The 23042-nt window shown below is 45.6% G+C and overlaps 2 protein-coding genes across 38 annotated transcripts in view, besides 5 other annotated features; both read right to left on the bottom strand.

Annotated features, from left to right (window-relative positions):
* ATG7 (autophagy related 7) overlaps positions 1-9540 on the bottom strand; it is a 303957-nt gene extending 294417 nt beyond the window's left edge. For 26 of the 34 annotated variants that reach the window (XR_007095622.1, XR_007095623.1, NM_001349238.2 and 23 more), the window contains exon 1: positions 9507-9540. The gene's annotated coding sequence lies outside the window, so the exon portion shown is untranslated. Of the gene's footprint in view, positions 1-834; positions 944-3116; positions 7724-9227 lie in introns of those variants that run through there. The other 8 variants (NM_001349232.2, NM_001349233.2, XM_011533277.4 and 5 more) reach the window with 4 other exon arrangements.
* Positions 8755-9344: an enhancer, noted in NCBI's record as "H3K27ac hESC enhancer chr3:11314279-11314868 (GRCh37/hg19 assembly coordinates)". NCBI's record gives its function as "activates a minimal SCP1, AML or CMV promoter by ChIP-STARR-seq in primed H9 embryonic stem cells {active_cell/tissue: H9 hESC(primed)}" and the evidence as "EXISTENCE:reporter gene assay evidence [ECO:0000049][PMID:30033119]".
* Positions 9345-9936: an enhancer, noted in NCBI's record as "H3K27ac hESC enhancer chr3:11313687-11314278 (GRCh37/hg19 assembly coordinates)". NCBI's record gives its function as "activates a minimal SCP1, AML or CMV promoter by ChIP-STARR-seq in primed H9 embryonic stem cells {active_cell/tissue: H9 hESC(primed)}" and the evidence as "EXISTENCE:reporter gene assay evidence [ECO:0000049][PMID:30033119]".
* Positions 9345-9942: a biological region, named in NCBI's record as "H3K27ac hESC enhancer GRCh37_chr3:11313687-11314278".
* Positions 9493-9622: an enhancer, noted in NCBI's record as "active region_19428". NCBI's record gives its function as "activates an Ori minimal core promoter by ATAC-STARR-seq in GM12878 lymphoblastoid cells {active_cell/tissue: GM12878}" and the evidence as "EXISTENCE:reporter gene assay evidence [ECO:0000049][PMID:35858748]".
* Positions 9893-9942: an enhancer, noted in NCBI's record as "active region_19427". NCBI's record gives its function as "activates an Ori minimal core promoter by ATAC-STARR-seq in GM12878 lymphoblastoid cells {active_cell/tissue: GM12878}" and the evidence as "EXISTENCE:reporter gene assay evidence [ECO:0000049][PMID:35858748]".
* HRH1 (histamine receptor H1) overlaps positions 18380-23042 on the bottom strand; it is a 126320-nt gene continuing 121657 nt past the window's right edge. For 3 of the 4 annotated variants that reach the window (NM_001098213.2, NM_001098212.2, NM_001098211.2), the window contains exon 2: positions 18380-22934. In NM_001098213.2, coding sequence (NP_001091683.1) covers positions 21436-22899 — 1464 coding nt within the window. In that variant the 5' untranslated portion in view covers positions 22900-22934 and the 3' untranslated portion in view covers positions 18380-21435. The remainder of the gene's footprint in view (positions 22935-23042) is intronic. The other variant, NM_000861.3, reaches the window with a different exon arrangement.

The following is a 23042-nucleotide window of genomic DNA, read 5'->3' as shown; positions in this document are numbered from 1 at the left end:
CTTCTAAATAATTACATCTCTGTGGTTTTCATTTCTGGTATGTTTAAAGAATCCTGAGAAACGGGAGAAGTACTTTAAAACTGGGCCAAGCAAAGGCCTGATTTCCGATTTTCAAAATGTTTGATTTTTCTTTGTTTCTTTTCTCTTTTTTTTTTTTTTTTTGAGATGGAGTTTCGCTCTTGTTGCCCAGGTTAGAGTGCAATGGCACGATCTCGGCTCACTGCAACCTCTGCCTCCCACGTTCAAGCAATTCTCCTGCCTCAGCCTCCCAAGTAGCTGGGATTATGGGCGCCCGCCACTACGCCCAGGTAATTTTTTGTATTTTTAGTAGAGATAGGGTTTCACTATATTGGCCAGGCTGGTTTCGAACTCCTGACCTCAGGTGATCCACCTGCCTCAGCCTCCCAAAGTACTGGGATTATAGGCGTGAGCCACCACACCCGGCCTGATTTTTCAAAGATAAGAATAAAGATGGGTTCTAAAGACCACTGGACAGAAGTTTTGCTCCCAGGAAAGGCCCATATGGGCCACTCTAGTCCACTTAGCACCTTTGTACAATCAGAAAATTACACCTCTGCTTCAAGATTTTACTTCCTTTAGTTAGAGAAATGTTGTAATATACTGATTAGATTAGCTCAAGACATGGTAGCCTTCTCTGCCACTGTCATTACAAAAATGCACCCATGATACCTATGATATAAATGGAACCCCCTTTGATGTGGCCTCTTGTGCAGTGCACAGCCTGCATAACTGTATGAGGCAGCCCTAAGTAATCACAAGAGGCCAATATGGTTTCTCTAAGAAAAAGTCATGACAGAGTAACTGCATTCCTACCTTGATCAGGGAAGAATCATAGACGCAGGACATACAGGTCTCAGAAATGTCTCTCACAAGGCTGCTCTAGAAATCCCGGTAGACAAGGTGAAGATACAGGAATTGGATCCTGACATAATTAGAGGGATTAAGAACTGGTAAAATAATCTTATTCAAAGGATCTTGGTTACTGAATTAATTAATGTTAATTAGAAAGGAGCTAATAGCAGTACGTCTTTGGCTTAGTCTCTGGGCCTGTCCAATTTATTTTATTTATCCACATGAATGAATATTTATCAACATTTACTAAGTATTTCATGTGCACTGAACCCTGTGCTGGGGCTAAGAGCAGGGGGAATAGGCAAATAAACATATTCAATAAAGTATTCTTATTACCATATTTTACCAATAACTTGGATAATGATATAGATTTGCTTATCAATTTCATGACAAAAGAAGAAACAGGCAATACAAGTGACTAAAATTCAGGATAAAAAAAGATTCCAACCATCTGGAATGGCAGGCCTATTTTAACAAGATTTGAAATTTCATAGAGGTAAATCTAGGGCCCTAAATCTAAGTTCAAGAAAACAACTGGACAAGGCAGATGGTCTGCTAGACTGGAAAGGGCATAGGTTCATGAGCCAGAGAGACCTGAGTTCAAATCCTGTCTCTGCTACTTTCTAGCCACACCACCTTGGACAAGTCATTCAACTTCTCCGAGTCTGTTTCCTCTTCTGTTAGATGGGGATACCACCTACTGTGCAGAATTAGTGTGAAGATTCAACTAGAAAATGCATACATCTGGCCCATAGGAGACACTCAAAAAGCAGGACTAATATCATATTGTTTACCAATAACATGCCCGGCCAACATGGCGAAATCCCGTCTCTACTAAAAATACAAAAAAAGGGCCGGGCATGGTGGCAGGCGCCTGTAATCCCAGCTACTCGGAAGGCTGAAGCTTGAGAATTGCTTGAACCCGGGAGGCGCAGGTTGCAGTCAGCTGAGATAGCACTACTGCACTCCAGCCTGGGTGACACAGCAAGACTCTGTCTCAAAAAAAAAAAAGAAAAGAAAAGAAATGAAATTGGGGCTTCCATTAGTTATTTCTTCAATAAACAGTTATGTTACATACTTGTCCCTGTGCTACATTTCAGGGTTCAATGGCAAAAAAAAAAAAAACTATGGTCCCCACCTTTAAAGAGCTAACAATTTTGAAGCCAAAACAGACAACAAAACAGAAGAGGAATCGGAGTATAGCAATTTGGAGGTAAAACAAATACAGTATAGCCTGGCGTTTGTACAGAATGTTATAGGAGGAGGGATATCTAAATTAGACTGATGAGGCAACAGTGTTTCCTATAGAAACCCTTAAGCCAAGGTGGGGTTTTTTTGTTTGTTTGCTTTTTATTTTTTGTTTTTTGAGACGGAGTCTTGAGACAGAGTCTTGCTCTGTCACCCAGGCTGGAGGGAGGTGGCTCAATTTCGGCTTCACTGCAACCTCTGCCTCCCGGGTTCAAGCGATTCTCCTGCCTTAGCCTCCTGAGTAGCTGGGATTACAGGCACCCGCCACCATGCCTGGCTAATTTTTGTATTTTTAGTAGAGACAAGGTTTCACTATGTTGGTCAGGTTGGTCTCGAACTCCTGACCTTGTGATCCACCCGCCTCGGCCTCCCAAAGTGCTGGGATTACAGGCGTGAGCCACCACACCCAGCCAAGCCAAGGTTTTAAGAATATCCTATAGAAACCCTTAACCCAAGGTTTTAAGAACATCCAAGTAGATTCTCAACAGGGGCCCTACTGGCATGCTGGATGGAACAATTCTTTTTTGTTTAGAGCTATCCCTGCACACTGCAGAATGTTGAGCATCTCTGGCTCTCTCTCAATAAATGCAGTAATGCCCTCTGGTCAATGTCACAAAACAAAGCAAAATAAAACAGCTCCACAAACTTCTAAACCCACCCCTGATGGTTGAGAAAGGGAGGGTTAGATGACAGCACTAGCCCCATGCAAGGACCCCTGGATGAGGAGGCTAGAGGTAGGGAGTGGGGACTCTCCAGGCAAAGGGAGGAAGCTGACTCAGCTCCACATCATCAGCTGCAGAAACACCCCATGGCCTCTGCATAAGCTTAGAATTTTCTTGGCCACCTCCACATACCCATCATCTAGTGAATTTCTTTGCTCACTTCAAATCACAGCTCAATCATCACTTCTGAGGGAAGCCTTCCCTGACTCCCTCAGCTCTGGATTAGGTCGATCCTCCTGTATTCTAGTCCTCAAAGAGCACCAACTACCTTACCTTCATAGCACGTATGCAGTTATCCTCCTCAGTAGAATAAAAATTCTATGAGAAAGGAACCATGTCAGCTTCTCATTTTCCCCCATTCATCATTGTTTTTCTAGCACCTGACTTAGCACCTCATAGGTGCCCAATAAATACTTGTTGATGACTGAAACAAAGAATGAATAAATAAAAATTCTATGAGAAAGGAACCGTGCCAGCTTCTCATTTTCCCCTATTCGTCATTGTTTTTCTAACACCAGTCTTCGCACCTCACAGGTGCCCAATAAATACTTGTTGATGACTGAAACAATGAAAGAACAAACCAGGATGGTATGTTTGAGAAAATACAAATGAGTTCTGTTGCGGGAAGTCACGGACCCTGAACGGAGGGACCGGCTGGAGCTGCAGCAGAGAAACATAAATTGCGAAGATTTCATTTTAATATGGACATATATCAGTTCCCAAATAATACTTTTATAATTTCTTATGCCTGTCTTTACTTCAATCTCTGAACATAAATTGTGAAGATTTCATTTTAATATGGACATTTATCAGTTCCAAAAATTAATACTTTTATAATTTCTTATGCCTGTCTTTAATCTCTTAATCCTGTTATCTTTGTAAGCTGAGAATGTAAGTCACCTCAGGACCACTATTGTGTTAACTGTACAAATTGATTGTAAAACATGTGTGTTTAAACAATATGAAATCAGTGCACCTTGAAAAAGAACAGAATAACAGTGATTTTCAGGGAACAAGGGAAGACAACCATAAGGTCTGACTGCCTACAGGGTCAGGCAGAATACAGCCATATTTTTGTTCTTGCAGAGAGCCTATAAACAGACGTGCAAGTAGGGAAGATATCACTAAATTCTTTTCCTAGCAAGAAATATTAATAATTAAGACCCTGGGAAAGGAATGCATTCCTGGTGGGGGGGGGGGGGTCTATAAAGGGCCGCTCTGGGAGTGTCTGTCTTACGCAGTTGAGATAAGGACTGAAATATGCCCTGTTCTCCTGCAGTACCCTCAAGCTTACTAGGATTGGGAAACCCCACCCTGGTAAATTTGAGGTCAGACCAGTTCTCTGCTCTCGAACCCTGTTTTCTGTTGTTTAAGATGTTTATCAAGACAATACATACACTGCTGAACATAGACCCTTATCAGGAGTTTCTGATTTTGTCCTTGTCCTGTTTCCTCAGAAGCATGTGATCTTTGTGACCCACTCCCTGTTCGCACACCCCCTCCCCTTTTGAAGTCCTTAATAAAAACCTGCTGGTTTTGCAGCTCGGGTCGGCATCACAGTCCTACCAATATGTGATGTCACCCCCAGAGGCCCAGCTGTAAAATTCCTCTCTTTGTACTCTTTCTCTTTATTTCTCAGCCAGCTGACACTTATGGAAAATAGAAAGAACATACCTTGAAATATTGGGGGCAGGTTCCCCTGATAGAGTTCTGTATGGCAGCAAGGAGAGGCACATGGGGCAGAGTAGATGGACCATGCCATAAAAGCAGGCAAAGGCCATATCATGAAGAGCCTTATGTGAAAAGCTATGCAACTGTATTTCTGCATAGATCTCTATTTTAGTAAAGGCAATCCACAGCAGTGAGGACCAGACTGCTGAGGCAGGGCAACCAGCTGGGAGGCTGTGCAGAAAGACAGGCAAAAAGGGAGGGGAGCCTGAAATGAGGGAGCAAGGGAGGAAATGGAGGAGATGTGAGTCAGGAGATAGCAACAAAGTCGAATCTATAGAACTCTGATGACTACCTGGACTTGGAAGATGGAAAGGAGGGCTAGTACCAGAGGAAGAGTCTGAGATGACTCTCAGGGTTCTGTTTTGGATGACTAAATGAAAGGAGAGGAATTGGCAAGATTCAAGAATGGAGAAAGAACGGCAGGTTCAAAGGGAAGATGAGGAGCTTAGTTTTAGACTTGTTTGAGTTTGAGGGTAGCACTCAGGAGAGATTCGGGCTATGATACAGAACAGGGGTCATGAGCATATAAACAAGTTTGAAGCTGCGGTTGAAAAGAATATAGTAGAGGGCAGAGTCTTGGCAAAAATTGGCATGTGAGGGACAAAGGGGAAGAAAGGAGCCCACAATGGAAATTGAGGGACAAATGGCCAGAGAGATAATACAAAGTAGGACTGGGTTTTCCTAAGTGAGGGGCAAGGTCAGCAATGTCAGATGTGCCAAGAAAGATAAGAAGGAAAAGTGGTCAGGTATTCTGGCAATGTCGAGGTCTGATGACTTTGGGGAGTGGTGGGACGAGAGCAGGATTTTAGCAATGACTTAGGGAAGTACAGGAAGCAACTCTAGATAACTCTTCCAAGAAAGGTGGCTGGGTAAAAGAGGTGTGACAGGGTGCAGCATAGGTTAATTGGAGGGTTTTTGTTTTTTCCAAAATGAGAGTAAACAGAGAATATTTAAATGAGAAGGGTTGATGAAACAGAAAAGAAAATGAACAAATGATGGAACCCAGTCCTTGAGGCAAAGGAGGCGATGGGATCTCAAGCACAAATAGAGGACTTAGTCTTAAAACACCATTTCTTTCACAGAATTAGAATAAAAGGCAAAAGGATAGGGTCAGCTAAAGATCAGTTGGTAAAGGATAGAAGAGGAAGCTGCGATGCCTTAATTAATGGCTGCAACTTAGTGGAGCAAAAGTCAAGGTAGGAGGTTGAGGAGAGGAATGAATATGAGGAAGACATAAAGGGAAATGGACAAGAGAGCTGCCTGAGGATATGGGGAGGGCTGAGCCACGCTGAGGGCCTATTTGGTGGCACACTAGTGTAATAGTGTCAAAAGCACAATGTGTCTATAATGGAGCTGGCAGGGCTTTAGGTTACCACAAGAAAAGTGCAGTCTTGCTCTGCATGGTTAGAGTCCTCAAGGAAAGAGGATTTCCTTTCTGTACCACACACTCAAAGAGAGGCTGACAAACCAGAGCAAGTTCAAGGATGGTAACTGGGATGAAGGTGTGAGGAAATCCCAAAAGTGATCATTCTGAAGCCGGTCTGAGATGGAGTGAATAGGCTATTCCTCAGTCTGCCAAGATCATGGTAATACCTACTGACTACCAATTAACAGAGCAGCACCTCCAGTATTTATTGTCCCTTGATTATACAATCAGGCCTTAATCGCACTGGAGAAGGGTGGGGAGATCAGGAGATAGAAAGGGGAGAGGAAGCGGTGGCTCACGCCTGTAATCTCAGCACTTTGAGAGGCTGAGGCAGGCGGATCACGAGGTCAGGAGATGGAGACCATCCTGGCTAGCACAGTGAAACCCCATCTCTACTAAAAAAAAAAAAAAAAAAAAAAAATTAGCCGGGCATGGTGGTGGGCACCTGTAGTCCCAGTTCCTGGGGAGGCTGAGGCAGGAGTATGGAGTGAACCCAGGAGGCAGAGCTTGCAGTGAGCCGAGATCGTGCCACTGCACTCCAGCCTGGGCGACAGAGTGAGACTCCATCTCAAAAAAAAAGAAAAAAAAAAAAAGAGGAGAGGAAGACATTAGCGAACGTCATTTCCATGGGTAGAAGTGGACGACAGAGGCAAACTGAATTCCAAATAAAATCAGAGGTCAGGGTTAATCTATTAGAGACACTAGTCAAAGAATTTTGTTACTGCTCAATTCCACACAGCAAATTCATTTCTGCCCTCCCGTCATCAGGATCCTGATTCTTGTCCCCTTCTTCTGTTTCATCCTATCAGTTACCAAGTCCAGCAAATTCCACCTCCTTAATCTCTCAACTCCTCCCACTCCTCTCCATCTCCACTGTCACTGCCTTCATCCAGATCTTCATCCTGTCACCTGGATCACTGCAACTATACCCAACTGGTCCCCTGCTTGTCTTTTTCTGTCCAGTGTAATCACCACATTGCTGCCTGGGTAATTTAAAACAGATGAGAGGATGTCGCATCTGTTTTAAAATCTTCAGTGTCCTGCTCTCCACCCCCGCCCCCACATTTTAGAGTCCAAACTTCTGGGCCTGGCAATATTAATGACTACTGTTTATTGAGTATTTATCATCTACCAGTGTCAAGTGAGTAACATATCACCTCGTACAGTTTTTATTTCCCCTTCTTAGAGATGAGGAAACTGAAGCTTAGAAAGAAGTGACTTGCCCAGGGTCACAAAACTAGTTCAGTGGCAATGGGAATATTGGTACGCAGCTATCTTGGATCCCAAAGTCTATGTGCGGGTAACATGCTATTGTCCACAGGGCCCTTCACGATGTGGCTAGTGCTTACCTTTCCAGTCACCTCTCATCCTACACCTCCACACTGGCACTCCAGTGAACCACAAGCAGGCCATGCATTCTCACCTCTAGCCCTTTGCTCATCTCACTTCGAACCACTCTTCACCTGTCAGATCTCGTTCGTCCTTCAGGTCTTGGCTAAAGCAGCACCTCCTCACTGAAACCTTCTCTGATGAGTCAGCCTGACTTATGCGTACCCTAAGTCCTCCTCTACCAAACCTCCGCAATAGCTTCATGCCATACCGTTGCTATCTCCTTGGCTTAAAAAAAAAGTAAACTCTTTGAGGACAGGGATGTGTATCTTACTCATTTTTGTATTCCCAGCTTGCAGCGCAGTGCCAGACACACAGCTGAAGCTCAATAAATGTTTATTCTCTATAATGAGATGCTGGCTGGGAACGAAAAACGGAACCTGTGGTTGAGTAATGGAAAGTCCAGTACTCAGCTCTTAAAGGATTTCAAAATCATGTCACATGAGGGCAGGAAGGAGTTGGCCAAGATAAATGGAAGAGGAAGGGGAGATGTTCGAAGCAGCAGAAGCAAAGGGCTATAGGTGACACACACCTGCAAGCAGCTTAACAAGACTGGAGCAGCGTTGGGGGATGGGAAAGCAGTTTAGCAACATGAGCCATTCCAAGACTGGACTTTTCTTTATTCAAGTGTTAGGTCACTTCCTCAGGGAAGCCATCCCTGACTAGCTAGCTTTTATGCTTCCCCCCAATTACTGTCCATCCCATGACCCTGTACGTTTCAGAATCGGAAACACCTACCAACCCTTACTGACAATGCCGCCACCGCCACCACCACCACTATTATTAGAAGGTGCCATGAAACAGGGTTCTTTTTCTTCTTATTTTACTGATAGATCACCAGTGCCCACAATAATGCCAGGCACATAACAGGCAAATATTTGTTTTATTCATTCATCCAACAAATATTTATTGAGCATATATAATATGCTAGGCATTGCTCTATATGCTGGGGATATAACAAAACATGACAAAATTTGCTGTCACTGTTAAGTTTACTATGAGCAAATACATTAAATATGCTTAGCCTAGAGAAGAAAAGGTGAGAAGAGGAAGACAAACTAGCAGCTTTCAATGATGTATAGGGCAATTAAATGCAGGGGTGATTCCAAGAGCCTGAAGGAGGAACAGTGAGCTAAGATTACCGAGTAGCTGCTTTCAGCTCAACCTAAGAGTCAGAACTGGGGGAGGACCAAACAGGAGCAACCAGAAGTAGAAAGCTTTCTGTCACTGAAGAAATCTGGCCAGTGGGCAGAGGTGTCAGAGAAAAAAATCTAAGTAGTCAATGAAAAAGGGAGTCTGGGATCCAGAGGTCCCAAACTGACAGCCACAGATATGACTGGTTACAGTTGAACAGGGTTTTGTAAAAACTGAGTTGCCAATGTTTTTAAACGCCAGAATTACTTGCCAATTTTTAAAAAATGGCATCAGTCGCCAGTGTTTAAAAATCAGGAAACTGCACGCACGTGCACACACACACGGTTTGGCTTGTACTTCTCCAACATCATGTACGTTAGTACTGTACTTATAAAATTAGAAGTTTGACTCTATTTCTGACAAATGTTCTAACACCTATATTTACCTTACCGGATTGATTCTTATTGTGCATTAGTTTCTAACCCTGTAACCAAGGAATCGAGAATCTTCTTTCTCAGAAAGTAAACTTATTTAACCTCCTCACTTAAACAAATGGCGGATTATCATTCCCATTTTGCAGATGGAAAAGCAGCTTAGATGGGGAAGGAACGTGCCAGAGACAGCAAATCCAGACACAGCCAGGCTGGGAATCCAAATGTCCCATCTCCCGTGTTCCAACACTGAAGATTCTGAGCACTGCCTACCAAGAGGACAGGAGGGGCTGACTTAGGAAATCAGCACGAGCTTCCAAGTCAGAAGACCCCGGACTGAACCAGTCTGAGGGGACGCGGCTACAGACGAAGGGCGCCAGCCGGAATCAGTGAGTCCCTGGAGGAGGAAGGACCACCCAGAAACTGGCAGAGGAGGATCCTGAGACTTGCTGTGACCCTCGCCCTCCCTGGCGAGCTCGCCCCTTGACTCCAGGCCTCCAAAACCGGCCCAGCAAGACCCCACTACACCCTCGCCCGCCGCGGCTCACTTACCGCCGCTCAACTTCCGGCAACCACAGCTCTCTCTGAGGCGCGCGCCCCGATGACGCAACGCGGTCCTGCCCGCGCTTGCCACTGGGAAGCGGCGCGCGTGCGCAAAGGAGCAGAGGCATGCCGGGGAAATGCGCCCCTAGCACCGAGCTAAGTGGGAGGAACTTGAGTCGTGAGGAGGGCGGGGCATCAGGGGGCGGTGACGCCCCCGGGGGAAGCGATGGAGAGCGTCTCCCTTACCAGATGTCGGAATGTCTACATTCCCTTCAGGCTTTTAAGAAAGTGCCCACGTTCTCTCTTTTGATTTCAGAGGATGACAGGAATGATCACCATGGTCATTCTCCAGGAGAGGCGGCATCAAACGCAGCACAGGGGCCATCAGGGTGGCAGGTGTGGAGAGCCAGGAGATGAGAATTTTAGTAGGAAAAGGCCAGTGAACGTCGACAGTGACCAACCTGCCTTTTCTAAACCAGCCATCATTCTCACAGCTCCTCACTGTCAGTGAGATAAAGTTATTCCCTCTCAATACTTGGTTAGATACTCTGCGCGTGCAAAGCACTGGACAGGTGTTGAAGATACAGCAGTGATTATGACAAGTTTCTCTGTCTGGCCTGTAAGGCCTTTCACAAATTAACTCTGATATACCACTCTAGACTCATAACAACAAGAGCGATGACTGCTATTAATTAACTAGCCACCATGTTTTCAGGGTTTTACATCTCTAATCCTCACAAGAGTCCTGAAACATATCCCCAAGTTATATATGAAAGAACAGAATCTAAGAAAAGTTAGGTGGCTTGCTGAAAGTTAAAGGGCTTTTGGGCCAGGAACGTAATCTGAAGTTTGTTTGATTCTGGCAAATAAGAAAACAAATCCAGACTAATAAGGATACTTATTAGAAAGGATTACTGCAGGCCCGGCGCGGTGGCTCACGCCTGTAATCACAGCACTTTGGGAGGCCGAGGCGGGCGGATCACGAGGTCAGGAGATCGAGACCATCCCGGCTAAAACGGTGAAACCCCGTCTCTACTAAAAATACAAAAAAATTAGCCGGGCGTGGTGGCGGGCGCCTGTAGTCCCAGCTACTTGGGAGGCTGAGGCAGGAGAATGGCGTGAACCCGGGAGGCGGAGCTTGCAGTGAGCCGAGATCCCACCACTGCACTCCAGCCTGGGCGACAGAGCGAGACTCCGTCTCAAAAAAAAAAAAAAAGAAAGGATTACTGCAAGAAGTGAGAGAGGTGGGAGAGAAGGAACCGTGCAATAGCAGAGGGAGACTATTGCAATAGTGAGATCACTCTGACCAAAACATCCGCAGATGTTTCAATGGTTAGGGAAAAAGAGGGTTCCCCCACCCCCCACCCTCCCCAAAGGCAGGTAAACAAGGCTGGAAACAACCGAATATGGGAAGTGGGATGAAGGGGTGGCTTGATCAGATAGTAGATTAGAGAATGTTTTATCTTGAGGCCAACCTATTCTCAGTAGGGGTTGTGTGTGTCAGTCTCTGAGCCCAAGCTAAGCCATCATATCCCCAGTGACCTGCACGTATACATCCAGATGGCTTGCAGCAACTGAAGATCCGCAGAAGTGAAAATAGCCTTAACTGATGACATTCCACCATTGTGATTTGTTTCTGCCCCACCCTAACTGATCAATGTACTTTGTAATCTCCCCCACCCTTAAGAAGGTTCTTTTATAGTCTCCCCCACCCTTAAGAAGTTTCTTTGTAATTCTCACCACCCTTGAGAATGTACTTTGTGAGATCCACCCCCTACCCCCAAAACATTGCTTTTAACTCCACCGCCTATCCCAAAACCTATAAGAACCAATGATAATCCCACCACCCTTTGCTGACTCTCTTTTTGGACTCAGCCCACCTGCACCCAGGTGAAATAAACAGCCTTGTTGCTCACACAAAGCCTGTTTGGTAGTCTCTTCACACGGACACATGAGACAGTATGCTAGTTCAAGCTGAGAGTAGGTTAAAGTAAGGAGCCTGGGGAAAGGAAAGAAGCTTAACCCAAGTTTGGTTAATAAGCATTTTTTCCAACTGGTCAATGGAGACAAGCAGCTCTGTAATCATTTATGAGGCAAAGAATGGGAATTCAGAAGGACTGTGTTTGACCTTGCCACAGTAAACAAGGGAGGCAACCAGGAGTCATTTAAGTGACATGAGAATGGGTATTTCTTTGTAGTGAACATTTTCTGAAGCACAAAAAGGTTAAGAAAGATTTCTCTTTTTTGCTTTATCTTTTTTTTTTTTTTTTTTTGAGACGGGGTCTCCCTCTGTTACCCAGGATAGAGTACAGTGGAGTGATCATAGCTCACTGCAGACTCAACCTCCTGAGCTCCAGGGATCCTCCCACCTCAGCCTCCTGAGTAGCTGGGACTACAGGTGCATGCCATCATGCCGGGCTAATTTTCTCATTTTTTGTAGAGACTGGGTCTTGCTATGTTGCCAGGGCTGGTCTTGAACTACTGGACTCAAGTGATCCTCCCACCTTCACCTCACAAAGTGCTGGGAATACAAGTGTGAGCCACCTTGCCCAGCAAGGATTTCTTTTTCCTTTTTTTTTTTTTTTTTGAGACGGAGTCTCGCTCTGTCACCCAGGCTGGAGTGCAGTGGCACAATCTTGGCTCACTGCAAGCTCCGCCTCCCAGGTCCATGACATTCTCCTGCCTCAGCCTCCCAAGTAGCTGGGACTATAGGCGCCCACCACCTCGCCCGGCTAATTTTTTGTATTTTTAGTAGAGACAGGGTTTCACCATGTTAGCCAGGATGGACTCGATCTCCTGACCTCATGATCCACCCGCCTCAGCCTCCCAAAGTGCTGAGATTACAGGTGTGAGCCACCACGCCCAGCCTTTTTTTTTTATTTATTTATTTTTTTGAGATGGAGTTTCACTCTTGTTGCCCAAGCTGGAGTGCAATGGCGCAATCTTGGCTCACTGCAACCTCCACCGCCCGGGTTCAAGCGATTCTTCTGCCTCAGCCTCCCAAGTAGCTGGGATTACAGGTGCATGCCACCACACCCGGCTAATTTTTTGTATTTTTAGTAGAAACGGAGTTTTACCATGTTAGCCCGCCTGATCTCAAACTCCTGACCTCAGGTGATCTGCTCACCTCGGCTTCCCAAAGCGCTGCGATTACAGGCGTGAGCCACTGCACCTGGCCAAGAAGGATTTCTTAACCTTTACTGTCAGAGGCATTTGAACCAGAATGACTCCATCTTGAATAGGGGCTGAGTAAAGTAAGGCTGAGACCTATTGGGCTGCATTCCCAGGAGGTTGGGCATTCTTACTCACAGGATAAAACTGGAGATCAGGGTATGACAGAGGTCACAAAGACCTTGCTGATAAAGGTTGTGCTAAAGAAACGTGCCAAAACCCACCAAAACCAAAATGGTGACGAGAGTGACCTCTGGTCATCCTCATTGCTTATTATACGCTAATTATAATGCATTAGCATGCTAAAAGACACTCCCACCATTGCCATGACCTTTTACAGATGCCAAGGCAATGTCAGAAAGTTGCCTTATGCAGTCTGAAAAGGGGAGGAACCCTCAGTCCCAGGAATTGCCCACCCCTTTCCCAGAAAACTCATGAATAATCCACCCCTTGTTTAGCATATAATCAAGAAGTAACTATTAGCATAATCAATTGAGCAGCCCATGCCACCACACACTGCCTATGGAGTAGCCATTCTTTTACTCCCTTTTTTTCTTTTTTCTTTTTTTTTTTTTTTGAGATGGAGTCTCACTCTGTTGCCCAGGCTGGAATGCAATGGCGCATCTCTGCTCACTGCAACCTCTGCCTCCTGGTTTCAAGCAATTCTCCTGCCTCAGCCTTCCTAGAATATGGTGAGCAATTCTCCTGCCTCAGCCTCCCTAGAAGCTGGGATTACAAGAACACACCACCATGCCTGGCTAATTTTTGTATTTTTTTTTTAATACAAATGGGGTTTCTTTCTTTTTTTTTTTTTTTTCCAAGACAGAGTCTTGCTCTGTCACTGGGCTGGAGTGCAGTGGCGTGATCTCGGCTCACTGCAACCTCCGCCTCTTGGGTTCAAGCGATTCCCCTGCCTCAGCCTCCCGAGTAGCTGGGACTACAGGCACAAGCCACCAAGCCCAGTTACTTTTTTATATTTTAGTAGAGACAGGGTTTCACTATGTTGGCCAGGCTGATCTTGAACTCCTGACATCTGGTGGCCCGCCCGCCTCGGCCTCCCAAAGTGCTGGGGTTCCAGGCGTGAGCCACCACACCCAGCCTCCTTTGCTTTCTTAATAAACCTTCTTTCTCTTTATGGACTGTCCCAGAATTCTTTCTTGTGTGAGGTCCAAGAAGTCTCTCTTGGGGTCTGGATCAGGACCCCTTTTCTTTTCTTTTTTTTTTCTTTTGTGTGTGTGTGTGTGTGTGTGTGTGTGTGTGTGAGAGAGAGAGAGAGAGAGAGAGAGAGAGACAGAGTCTCACTCTGTCACCCAGGCTGGAGTGCAGTAGCGCGATCTCGGCTTACTGCAACCTCCATCTCCTGGGTTCAAGTGATTCTCGTGCCTGAGCCTGCCAAGTAGCTGGGATTACAGGCATGCGCCACCACACCCAGCTAATTTTTGTATTTTTAGTAGAGACGGGTTTTCACTGTGTTGGCCAGGCTAGTCTCGAACTCCTGACCTCAAGTGATCTGCCCATCTCAGCCTCCCAAAGTGCTGGGATTACAGATGTGAGCCACTGCACCCAGCCAGGACCCCTTTCCAGTAACATTACTGTTTTCCAAGAGCAAAAAGTCCAAGTAAAATTCAACACTGCCAACTCTTGACTATATCAGGTTCCTCTCCTGCCGTTGCCCTCTCAAACTGCATGCTTGAGTCACACTAAACTAATTCTGGTCAAGCACACACTGCTCTTTTATATCTCCATCCCTGCAATGCTCTCACACTTGCTGTGCTTGTGTAAGCCTTTCTCAGTCTTCACAACCCATTTGAAGTGTGGGGGAATCTTAGACAAAATGTTGATGGAAAAAAGGAGTACATATTAAATAATTCTACTGATAGAAAGTTCTAAAATCAGCAAAACTAATCGCTATAGTTGTTACCGGAAAGAGGTCCCGATCCAGACCCAAGAGAGGGTTCTTGGATCTCTCACAAGAAAGAATTCTGGGCAAGTCCGTAGAGTAAAATGAGAGCAAGTTTATTAAGAAAGAAAAGGAATAGGGCTGGGTGCAGTGGCTCACGCCTGTAATCCCAGCACTTTGAGAGGCCAAGGCGGGCAGGCCACCTGAGATCAGGAGTTCAGGATCAGCCTGGCCAACATGGTGAGACCCCGTCTATACAAAAACATAAAAAATTAACCGGGCATGGTGGCTTACACCTGTAGTCTCAGCTACTCGGGAGGCTGAGGCAGGAGAATTGCTTGAACCCAGGAGGCAGAGGTTGCAGTGAGCCAAGATTGCACCACTGCACTTCAGCCTGGGTGACAGAACAAGACGCCGTCTCAAAAAAAAAAAGGAATAAAAAATAATAACTACTACATAGGCAGAGCAATGTTATGGGCTATTTGACTGAATATACCTATACTTGTTTTTTTTTTTTTTTTTTTGAGACAGAGTCTCACTCTGTCACCGAGGCTGGAGTGCAGTGGTGTGATCTTGGCTCACTGCAACCTCTGCCTCCTGAGTTCAAGCGATTCTCATGCCTCAACCATCCTGGTACCTGGAATTACAGATGCACACCACCACAACTGGTTAATTTTTGTATTTTTAGTACAGATGGGTTTTCTCCATGTTGCCCAGGCTGGTCTTGAACTCCTGGCCTCAAGTGATCTGCCTGCCTCCACCTCCCAAAATGCTGGGGTTACAGGTGTGAGCCACCCTACCTGGCCAGTTATTTCTTGATTGTATGCTAAAAAAGGGTGGATATTTCGTGGAACTGAGGGTTCCTCCCCACTTTTTTTTTTTTTTTTTTTTTGAGATGGAGTCTTGCTCCTGTCGCGCAGGCTGGAGTGCAGCGACGTGATCTCGGCTCACTGCAACCTCCACCTCTGGAGCTGAAGCGATCCTCCTTCCTTAGCCTTCCAAGTAGCTGGGATTACAGGCATGCGCCACCACACCCAGCTAATGTTTGTATTTTTAGTAGAGATAGGGTTTCGCCATGTTGGCCAGGCTGGTTTTGAACTCCTGACCTCAGGTGATCCACCTGCCTCAGCCTCTCAAAGTGCTAGGATTACAGGCGTGAGCCACCATGCTCGGCCCCCTTTTTAGACTATATAGGGTAACTCCCCAAAGTTGCTATGGCATTTGTAAACTGTCATGGCACTAGTGGGAGTTTTCTTTAGTATGCCAATGTATTATAATTAACGTATAATCAGCAGTGAGGATGACCAGAGGTCAGGTTTTTTTTTTTTTAATTTATTTAAAAAATAATTGAGACAGGGTCTCTCTACATTGCCCAGGCTTTCTCAAACTCCTGGGCTTACGGGACCCTCCCACCTCTGCATCCCAAAGTACTGGGATTACATGCGTGAGCCACCATGCCCAGCCAAGAAGTCACTTTCATCACTCCTTGGTTTTGGCCAGCTTCTTTACTGCATCCTGTTTTATCAGCAGGGTCTGTGTAACCTCTATCTTGTGCCGACCTCCTACCTCATCCTGTGAACAACAATGCCTGACCTCCTGGGAGTGCAGCCCAGTAGGTCTCAACCTTACTTTACTCAGCCACTACTTGACATGGAGTTGCTCTGGTTCAAATGCCTCTGACACAGTGATAGAAGTCAGATCAGTAGATCAGTCATTCCTAGGAGCAGAGTGGGGCATGGTCAACAAATGGGCATGAGGAGCTTTCTGGGGTGATAGAAATGTTCTACAGCTTAAATGAGGTAGGGCTGACACAGGTATACACATTCATCAAAACTCATCAAACTCTGCTTTTAACATGGGTGCATTTTATTGTATGTATTGTGTGTAACAAACTTGATTTTATTTTATTTTTTATTTATTTATTTGAGACAGAGTCTCACTCTGTTGGCCAGGCTGGAGTGTAGTGGCACAATCTCGGCTCACTGCAACCTCCATCTCCCAGGCTCAACCAATTCTCCTGCCTCAGCCTCCCAAGTAGCCGGGATTACAGGCATGTGCCACTACACCCGGCTAATTTTCGTGTTTTTAGTAGAGATGGGGTTTCACCATGTTGGCCAGGCTGGTCTCAAACTCCTGACCTCAGGTAATCTGCCCCTCTTCGGCCTCCCAAAGTGCTGGGATTACAAGCATGAGCCACTGCACCTGGCTGATTTTAAAAACAAACAGTAGGGATGTCACCTCTTATATGAAGGCATGCCTTATACCCACCACCTCTAGGCTTTACTCTATTGAGCATATATGAGCCTAAGTTAAAGTTAGTTCTTTATAAGTTTGACTCTACTGCTGGGTTTTGTGATTTTATAATGAACACCTTTTAAAGCTTCTGCCGAACTCACAGTAATCCTTGCTTCTCTGGGAACTGCTGATTCTCCAGCTATGTTTGTACCACCTGTGCCACCCCAGCCTCCACCCCCTCCAGAGTTGACTGGAGTAAAGTGGACACAGGACGATTCTTTATCCTGAGTTTGGGACTTTTGAACTGATGTTCATAGAGTGGGAATAGGATTAGTTTATGTAGATCATTGGCAGTATCCTAGAGAGGGAGTTTCCTTGAATTCTTAGCTTGAGATTCCTATGGCTGACTTGTCTCAAGCCCTCCTCAAGGCAAAGTCATCCAAAGTATCACTAGATTCCACAAAGCATGCCATGCTATGTGGCTTGAACATTTGTCCTCTCCAAAACTCATGTTAAAATTTAATTGCCATTGTGATCATATTGGGAAGTGGGATCTTTAAGAAGTGTTTAGGTCATGGGTTTCCACTCTCATGAATGCACTAATGCTGTTATCATGGGAGTGAGTTCTTTATTACAGGAGTGGGATTGCTCCCTTTTGCTCTCTCTTGCCCTCTCTTTGCTCTTCCATCATGTCATGATGCATCAGGAAGGTCCTCACCAGATGCCAGCACATTGATATTAGACTTACCAGCCTCCAGAACTGTGAGCCAATAAATTTCTATTCATTATAAATTACCCAGTCTGTGATATTCTGTTATAGGAGCACAAAACAGACTTAAGATACTCTAGTAACTATTCACAAAGTTGATTTCTGTCACTTGCAAACCTGAAGTAGCTCCACAGGGTTGAAATCATGTCTTTCTGGCTCAGGCCAGACATAAGAAGTGCTGGAAAAATATTTGTTAATTAACAGATAAGGTCTGGGAATCCAAAATAGATATGGGGACCAGAGCTAATGATTGCTCAGACGACAAATGAGGCTTCCTTGTTAGCAGGAAGATAGGGTGAGGCTAAGGAAGAAGACCTGCCTCTGCTGCCTGGAATGGGATAGGCAGACCATTGGGGCTCCAAGACCATGGAGCATTAAGAAAGATGCAGACCCAGGAGACTTAAAGAGGCAGAGAATGTTCTCAGACACAGCAGGGTCATGAGGCCCTGTGACACTTATTCAAGGCTACAGTGATTCAGGTCAATCCACCTTCATCATTTGTCTTGCATCTGAGTTGAGAAGAGTACATGCTCCCCACAATGAGAATTATATGTCACGTCAAGCTAGGCTTTGAAAGCCTGACAAATTGTGGAATGATAAATATTGGCAAATAAGATCTTTAACAGCATGTTTCTATATTTTATTTTATTTTATATTTCATTTCATTTCATTTCATTTTAAGACAGAGTCTCTCTCTGTCACCCAGGCTGGAGTGCAGTGGCCCAATCTTGGTTCACTGCAGCCTCAACTTTCTGGGCTCAAGTGATCCTCCTGCCTCAGCCCCCCAAGTAGTTGGGACTGCAGGTGTGCGTCACAGCCCCTGGCTAATTTTTTATTTTTAGTAGAGACAGGATTTCACCATGGTGCCCAGGCTTGTCTCGAACTCCTGGACTCCAGCCATCTGCCCGCGTCAGCCTCCCAGTGTGCTGGGATTACAGGCATGAGCCACCATGCCTTGCCAACAGCATGTCTCTATGGCACTTAGGGTGCATAAATAGCCAGGAGCATCCCAGCATCTTTTTCATGCTGAGTTAAGACTATTAAATCCACCTCCTGGAAGTCCATGCAGTGCCCATCTTCAAAAGAGGTCAGAGATTGTCCACAAGCCAAGTAGCCAAATGACCAATTTATTAAAGCCATTAGCCACTGATGGGCTGGGGCTTTCTTAGTGGGCTGGGGCTGACATTTCTGTATCATAGTCTGTTGTCTTTTATACATTCAAAAATTAATTTCCATCGTTCAGACAGGAGTACGAAGAGCAGATTGATAAAGTGGAAAGGAAGCACATTCCAGAATCAGACCTCGGAGCAGTTCCTCAATCTCTCTGGGCCTCAGTTTGCCTATTTGTAAAGATGGAAATCTCCCTCATGAGGTTGTTGTAAAGGCAACATTACATAATGGCACCAATACCATTAGATAACATTAGATAAAACACAAAGCCTGGCACATGGTATGTGCTCAGCATGTTTTAAAAATGCATAGGAGTGCCCTCTGTATACCAGACACTATACAAGCACTAGAGACACTGTATACAATAATGCATAGACCTTGTTCCTTAGACGCTGGTAATTTATATTTATTGACCATTTCTTGTTCTTGTCAGACTCAAATCCAGGTCTCTCTGACCCAGAGGCAGAGCTCACAATCAGTTCTCTCCACTAGTTGCCTTGATTGTTCAAGGTAAATAATGGACACTTAGCCACTTGTCTGTGTGAAGTGCTCTTTTCGAGTGTTCTTTGGTCCTGAGGGACCCTGAGGAGCAACTCTCTCACAGGGAGGTCTTCTGAACAATGGTTTCTGACCTGGAAACAGACCAGCTGCAGCTTCTGAAACCGGGATTAAAGTCTCCTAAACTCCCCCCGTTTTGAACAAGAAGTTTGGGGGATGCAAAGCAGAGTGAGAATGAAGCTTTTTACAAAAAGTAAATCCTTTTGAAAAGACATTTACAAATGTGATGAGAAACCAAAGAGAAAGCCCATATCAAACTCTGTTAACATTTGATGGTACATTTCAAAACATCTTCTTAGTCCAAGAGACTCAGAAAGGTAGAAATAAATAAATCACATAGAGTATGCTTTTAAACATCATATTTTAGGCAGGTAAAAATATCTCACTTTGACAGATCATGCAAAGAGGAACACAAAATACAAAACATCAGCTTGTACAGGCACTCCATATGCTATACATATTGTGGTTTAGCACCAAGCTTTAAAATATAAATCACAACCAGATTGCAACATAAACACCAAGTAAAACTACATGTTCCTATGTCTTTACTAGTTTTTGCTTACCAGGTATGGCTATGAAAGATTACAATGACTTTTTGACAAACACAACAGAACTCACAGATAAAAATGCACTTGGTTCCTTCAAAGCGTCCCCTTCCGTAGGTGCACGGGAACTCCATGTCAGCTGTTCGTCTACTCAAACATATCATTTTGAGCTGCCACCACTCTTGGGAATACCGTGTATGTGTATCTGTGCACACTTAAGAGGGCACATTGTTAAAATATTGTATTTTTTTTTTTGAGACAGAGTCTTGCTCTGTTGCCCAGGCTGGAGTGCAGTGGCGTGATCTTGGCTCACGGCAACCTCCACCTCCCGGGTTCAAGCAATTCTCGTGCCTCGGCCTCCCAAGTAAGTGGGACTACAGGCATGCCCCACCATGCCCAGATAATTTTTGTGTTTTTAGTAGAGACAAGGTTTCTCCATATTGGCCAGACTGGTCTTGAACTCCTGGCCTCAAATGATCTGCCCACCTCAGCCTCTCAACATGCTGGGATTATAGGCTTGAGCTACCATGCCCGGCCAAAAGGGCACATTTTTGCCTTTCGGAGAAAATATGCTACAATAAGCTGAAACCCCAGAGGATCTGTACTCTAACTTTCTCACATAACTAGCTATGTGACCTTGGGTACCTCTCTCACCTTGCTGAACCTCAATTTGCTCCTCTGCAAACTAGAGTTAGAAAATTACCCTCCTGTGGGGTGTTGTGGGGCTTAAATGAGATAAACCTAGTACAGCCCTCAAAAATATGGCATTCTGCCCCCATTCCTTCTTTTAATTTTTAACGTGCAACCATTCAAAAATATTTCATTTCTCTTTCTTTTGAGGATGTCTTTTGCCACCACTTTTTTAATAGCCAAAGGAAATTTGGGGTTAAAGACGATGGGTGTGCAAGCTGCATAATTTTCTATCCACTCTAAACATGTTTGAGTAAGAAATAATAAGGCAGAATTTCCAGGGTGGTTCAGACACTGGTTCTGGAGAAAGCTGTTAAAGAGGCTCAGAAGAGAAGTTTTCTGAGAAGGGATAGCCCCTGTGGAACAGCTGTCATGCCTCTCAAGGTGACCCCTGGAAGGGGACAGCAACTATTGGCATGGATAAAGTCTCTGCACAGTTATACAGCTCCATTCCAGGAGGGCTCAAGAGTCCTTTTCAATTCTCCAGTGGAACCCTAGCCACGTGTCTCTTCAGTTGTCAATCACTTGACTCGGAAAGCTTGAATTACAATGAGTCTGAGGCTCCCATAGTTCCTGAGGAGCAGGAGAGTTCCACCCAGGTCTGATTCTCTCTCTCTTTTATTTTTATTATTTTTTTCTTTTTGAACCCAGTTACAAGAAACAGGTCTGACTTTCTTGCAAAGATTCTGCTTCCTCCTCAAAGTTCAATCTCTCTGCTGATCACCGCCATCTGCTGTTCTTCTATGGTGCCTAAGAACTTTCCAAACTACCAAGCCCCTAAGACTGTGGTTTGGATTCCAGAAAGCCCAGGTGCCTGCCTGGCAACACACAGGCCTTCGTCCTCTATTTCCTTGTTGGACATCATAAGGATCATTTTGTTGCATCCCCTCAGAGCCTCCCTTAGGAGCGAATATGCAGAATTCTCTTGAATGTCTTCTTGAAGTTCTCATTGCACAAGGGGTAGATGAGGGGGTTCAGTGTGGAGTTGATGTAGCCCAGCCAGATGGTGAACATGTGCAAATGTTCATTGCAACAGTTCTTGCAGAAGGCAATGACCATGAAGAAGATGAAATAAGGGATCCAGCAGAGGATGAAGGCTGCCATGATAAAACCCAACTGTTTGGCGGCCTTCCTTTCGCGGTTCATGTGCAACCCAGATACATACTGTCTTGAATGCGAGCGGAGCCTCTTCCAAGTAAACTTGATGTAATCCAGGCCTGTGTTAGACCCACTCCTCAATTTGCCTTTGCCTGGTGCTGTCTCTGTGGTGGTATCTGAGTCCGTTCGAGAGAAGGATTGGCTATCACCTAACATCTGATCCTCTGATATCTCGCTGGCCCCATGTGTGTTCAGGCCCTGCTCATCTGTCTTGAGCTGGCCATGGCTCCGGTTGACGGCTACATAGTCCCTGCTACTCCCCTCTGCCGCAGCCTGCATGTGCACAATATCAAGTGGAAAGCAGTAGAGTTTGTCTACTTCTCTATCATCCTCTTGGCTGAAGACAACTGGGGATTTCATCTCCTTGGGGGTTTGGGATGGTGACTTCAAGACAGATCCACCACCAGCATCTTTTGGCTTCCTTTTCAGAACCTCCCAGGGAGACTCCTTCCCTGGTTTCTTGGCATCCCCCTTGGGGTTCTCTGGCCTCAGCTTAATTTCTGAGAAGGAAGGGAGGGACCTATTGATGAGCTCCCGGTGCTGGCAGTGTTGTCGTACGGCCTTGTAGATCTTGGCATAGAACCAGAGCATGAGCAAGGTGGGCAGGTAGAAGTTGATGATGGCAGTCATGACCTTGAACCAGGTGACATCATAGAAGTCTGTCTCACACTTGTCCTCTCGGCGCACCGAGGTCTGCTGCATGAAGTGATTCCAGCCTAGAATGGGAATAACCCACAGAAAAGAGAGAAACCAGGCCCCCAGAATGGTGGCCGAGGCTCGGGTCTTGGTACGATACTTAAGGTACCTGAGGGGCTGCTGGACAGAGCGGTAGCGATCAATGCACAGGATGAAGACACTGAAAATGGACGCTGTGCTGGCCACATAGTCCATGGAAAGCCAAAAGAGGCAGAGAGGACGGCCCAGTGACCACTTGGACATGAGCAGGTAGAGGATGTTCATAGGCATGACGACGGCACCCACGATCAAGTCCGCCACCGAGAGGCTGACGATGTACAGGTTCCCCACAGTGTGGAGCTTCCGCTCACTCCGTACGGCATACAGCACCAGCAGGTTGAGCCCTACTGTGACCAAGCAGATAGTGCTCAGGACCACCACCAGGGGCATCAGCTGGGGGCTGGCCATAGTGGTCTTGTTGCCCTCACACATCTTGTCTTCTAAGAGGCAGGAGGAATTGGGGAGGCTCATTGGCGCAAGAGCAGCCACCAGTTATGGCTCACTCCCTGGGAGAAAAGAGAGAAAAAGTAAGGTCAGAGACTTGGGTGATGAGTGGCCACTTAGTAGCATGATGTTCATCAGACTGGAGTTGTATGCTGTTGGGGGTGATCAAC

This window comes from Homo sapiens, chromosome 3, assembly GCF_000001405.40.
Source record: "Homo sapiens chromosome 3, GRCh38.p14 Primary Assembly".
Lineage (NCBI taxonomy): Eukaryota > Metazoa > Chordata > Mammalia > Primates > Hominidae > Homo > Homo sapiens.
The sequence above is the reverse complement of the archived record's forward strand: the minus strand, read 5'-3'. Positions and strand labels throughout refer to the sequence as shown.